The sequence below is a fragment of the Homo sapiens genome, chromosome 6, assembly GCF_000001405.40.
Source record: "Homo sapiens chromosome 6, GRCh38.p14 Primary Assembly".
In the NCBI taxonomy this organism is placed as follows: Eukaryota; Metazoa; Chordata; class Mammalia; order Primates; family Hominidae; genus Homo; species Homo sapiens.
The window spans coordinates 115,413,799-115,418,173 of NC_000006.12; the positions used below are offsets into that span (position 1 = coordinate 115,413,799).

The window sequence follows — 4,375 nt, forward strand, 5'->3', positions numbered from 1 at the left end:
GACTCAATCAATAGTAAAGTAGGAGGACACACAAACAGACATGCCCTTTGTGAAAACTGTAATCAAGGAAACATGCTTCTGTCATCTAAACTTATCCATCCAAGTATACAGTATTTTTGACAGTGATGAAAATAAGGGTTACTACCTGGAATAAATCTATTTAAGCAGCTACAATACAAGAAATATCAAGACAAGGAAGGCAGTTTCTGATGTAGTCAAAACAAAGTTACCGTTGGTGATTGGCAAGAATAATTGAAAAGCCTGGCTTTCCTGATATTTTGAGCTAAACAAGTTTTATATCTATACTTCCTGCTCCTTTTTTTAACAGGCAATAAATTGGAATTGTCCATTTGGTCACCATCTGTGCAGTTTTACAAGGCACACTGTAAAGTTAGGAAAAATACCTAAACACTTAGTATTTCCTGGCCCAGGTTCACAATTTTTAAAATTAGATTAATAATTTGTTGTGCTGATAGTTTTAAGATGATCTACCAGGCACTAAAATTAAAGCCTACGATAACAGCTGAGAAAAATATAAGAAATATTTATAGACTTTATAACATACTAATTGTTTAAGTAGATTACAATAGGAGTTTTTGTTGTTGTTGTTTCTTTTTTGATAGAGAGAAGGTCTCACTATCTCAGAATGGCCCAGCTGGTCTCAAACTCCTGCCCTCAAGAAATCCTCCTGCCTTGGCCTTCCAAAGTGCTGGGATTAGAGGCATGAGCCACTGCACCTGGCTAACAATTTTTAAAGGGAAATTTTTATTGACGTAAATGATCAGATTCTAACCCAATGCAATAAAGTTTCCAGTAGCACAGTAGGTGTTAATCATCTTGAGTTCATTTTGAAAATTCTAGCATATAAAAAACATTAAGTTTCTTCGGTGAACTGAGACTGATTTTTTAAAATGAGTTGGATTCTACTTCGAGATACAAAATGTTACCAGAACAAAAAATATTCAAGCTAAAAGTTATGAAGATTTCAGTAAATTGTACAAATATTAATACTCAGCAGCACAGTGGGCCATGACTCAGTTTTCTGGGTTTTCATCAATGTTAGAGACAGAGTGAGACGATGGATCTTCAACTACAGGGCACAGTGCCTGGCACTTAAAAGACTGTAAATCAAAAAGTATCTCAGACCAGTCTCAATCAATTTAGAAGTTTATTTTGCCAGTGTTAAGAATCGTGACCCCTTGAGATTAGGGAGTGGTGATGACTCTTAACGAGCATGCTGCCTTCAAGCATCTGTTTAACAAAGCACATCTTGGCACCACCCTTAATCCATTTAACTCTGAGTTGACACAGCACATGTTTCAGAGAGCACGGGGTTGGGGGTAAGGTTATACCCAGGGACACAAACACAGCGGAAGGCCGCAGGGACCTCTGCCTAGGAAAACCAGAGACCTTTGTTCACGTGTTTATCTGCTGACCTTCCCTCCACTATTATCCTATGACCCTGCCACATCCCCCTCTCTGAGAAACACCCAAGAATGATCAATAAATACTAAAAAAGGAAAAAAAAAATTCGTGACCCCTAATACAGCCTCAGGAGGTCCTGAGAACATTTGCCCAAGGCGTTTGGGTTACAGCTTGATTTTAGAAAGGTGGGTCATCTGTGGGTGGGGTGGGAGTTGTGATTCCAGGTCATGGGTGGATTTAAAGACTTCCTAATTGGAAATTTGTTGAAAGGATTAAACTCTGACTGAAGAGTTTCAATCAGCTTGAGTTAAGGTAAGGTGGTGCGGGGTAGGGGGTGGAATCCAAGGCTCTTGTCATGTAGATGAAGCCTACAAGTAGCAGGCTTCAGAGGAATAGATGCGAATGTCTCTTATGGATCTTAAAAGGCTTCAGAGCTAGTAAGGGGAGATTCTCTATAGAATGCAAATTCCTCCCTTAAGAGGCAGCTTTGCAGGGCCATTTTAAAATATGTAAAAGAAATAAATTTTGGAGTAAAATACTTTGATTTCCTTCAGAGCCTACTATCTGTCAGGTGATGTTATACTAGAGTCAGGCTGGAATTCAGTATCTCATTGTTACAGGGAGTCTTTTTTGTTAGTCTTAAGATCTATGTTTTATTGTTAATGCTGGTTAGTTGCCTCTAAACTTCAAAGGGAGGAGAGTATAATGAGGCATGTCTGATGTCCCCTCTTCTCATGATCTGAACTCGTTTTTCAGGTTTGTTTGTGTCCCCTTGACCAAGAGAAGGGTCCGTTCAGTCACTTGAGGGGCTGAGAATTTTATTTTTGGCTTACACTACTAATGTTCTGTTTCTGAATATTTCATCTCTATATGAGCATGTCCTCTAATAAGATATTTATATAGAGCTCTGTGTTCATGATCTAGTCATACTTATAGCATCTTTTTGAGCAAAGGTGTGGCAATTATTTATATTTTTAATTTACAGAGGGGAAACATTGCTTATACATTAATGCAAGTAGAAATTTTTCTAGTGTTTACAGATGAGAGTAGAAGCCTTACTATTGTCAGACTCGAGTGAACCAGAGCAACTCCATCTTAAATATGAGCTGGGTAAAATGAGGCTGTGAAACCTACTGAGCTGCATTCCCAGATGGTTAAGGCATTCTAAATCACAGGATGAGATAGGAGGTCAGCACAAAATACAGATTATAAAGACCTTGCTGATAAAACACGTTGTGTAAAGGAGCCGGCCAAAACCCACCAAAACCAAAATGGTGATGAGAGTGACCTCTGGTCGTCTCCACTGCTACACTCCCACTAGCACCATGACAGTTTACAAATGCCATAGCAACGTCAGGAAGTTACCCTACATGGTCTAAAAAGGCAAGGCATAAATAATCCACCCCTTGTTTAGCATATCATCAAGAAATAACCATAAACATGGCCAACCAGCAGCCCTCAGAGCTGCTCTATGGAGTAGACATTCTTTTATTCCTTTACTTTCTTAATAAATTTGCTTCCACTTTGTACTGCAGACTCACCCTGAATTCTTTCTTGCGCAAGATCCAAGAACCCTCTCTTCCGGACTGGATTGGGACCCCTTTCCTGTAACACTATGACACAATTATTTACTCCTCCTTTGATCTACTGATTGCTAAAGAGAGCTTTCATCTTTTCATTCTAACTTAGTCATCTTTCAATAGGATTTTTATTCAGTAAAATGTCAACAGATTATTATGGTTGTGTTAGCAGCAGCAAATTCATATAGGTCTGCAGCAACCTCAAGTCTTGCCTGCTTGGAAGAATTAATTTGACTGAAGGGGCATAAGGCTGGGTGAGAGACTGAGGCAAGTTTTAGAGCTGGAGTGAAAGTTTATTAAGAAAGTTTTAGAGAGGGAATGAAAGGAAGTAAAGTACACTTGGAAGAGGGCCAAGCTGGCAACTTGAAAGACTCAAGTGCATGATTTGAGCTTTGACTTGGGGTTTTATATGACAGCACATGCATCTAGGCGGGTTGCATCCCTTCTTCCCTGATTCTTCCCTTGAAGTCTGCTGTCTGCATGCACAGTGGTCTGCCAGCCCTTGGGAGCATCCACATGCACAATGTGTTTACTGAAGTTGTATGTATGCTCACTTGAGGCGTTCTTCCCTTACCAGTTGAGTGTTACTAAAAGAAAGTCATATACCAGGTAAACTCTGTCATTTTTCCTCTGAGTGTGCATGCTTGAGCCCATGCACCTAACTCTTGATATCTTATCAGGAACCTATTGATCACTAATTTCAGGTATTTTCTATCTATTGGGAGACTGCCTTCTCCTGGTGTAAGCTGCAAACAATTATTATTTTAGATAGTTTAACAACCACCTGAACATCAGCTGATGATTACCTGTCGTTTGTGGTTTGGGGTCCTCTCCTGCCCAGCTCATGTTTGACTAACTACTCTAGCAGTTCTAAACTTTTGAATTTAGTATGAAAATACATCTTCCTGAAGGAATGTTAAAATCGCTTTGCCCTATCACCTACAAGCCCAGGACTGCAAATGTAGTATATTTATCATTTTGGGGGAGAACCTTGGTCTGAGTTCAGCTAGTTGTACTTAGTGAGAAATTTATAATTACTCTTGTACAAATTTTTGCTTTACTGAGTACTGAGGTAATAGCAGAAAAGATAAGTAATAAAAATAAGTAGCAAAACTAACACAGTTATTTTATATATAAAGTTTTCTTTTTAAAACATAACAAGAGTCTTTTCATTTAGTAAAACCATAGAGAGCCATATTTTCAAAAATTTCTTCCAAAGTAATATTAATCTTCTGAAAGAAAATGTGTTTCTCTTTGGGAATCATGATACTTATTGATGCAACAAATGCTATGAGACATTCTGTAGTGAATATGGTTAATTTTATTACACATAATAGCCAAAACTTTTTGTAAATCATAGAACTATTTTC

General features: G+C 38.4%; 2 annotated features.

Annotated features, from left to right (window-relative positions):
• Positions 978–1,690: an enhancer, noted in NCBI's record as "OCT4-NANOG hESC enhancer chr6:115735940-115736652 (GRCh37/hg19 assembly coordinates)". NCBI's record gives its function as "activates a minimal SCP1, AML or CMV promoter by ChIP-STARR-seq in primed H9 embryonic stem cells {active_cell/tissue: H9 hESC(primed)}" and the evidence as "EXISTENCE:reporter gene assay evidence [ECO:0000049][PMID:30033119]".
• Positions 1,691–2,402: an enhancer, noted in NCBI's record as "OCT4-NANOG hESC enhancer chr6:115736653-115737364 (GRCh37/hg19 assembly coordinates)". NCBI's record gives its function as "activates a minimal SCP1, AML or CMV promoter by ChIP-STARR-seq in naive and primed H9 embryonic stem cells {active_cell/tissue: H9 hESC(naive and primed)}" and the evidence as "EXISTENCE:reporter gene assay evidence [ECO:0000049][PMID:30033119]".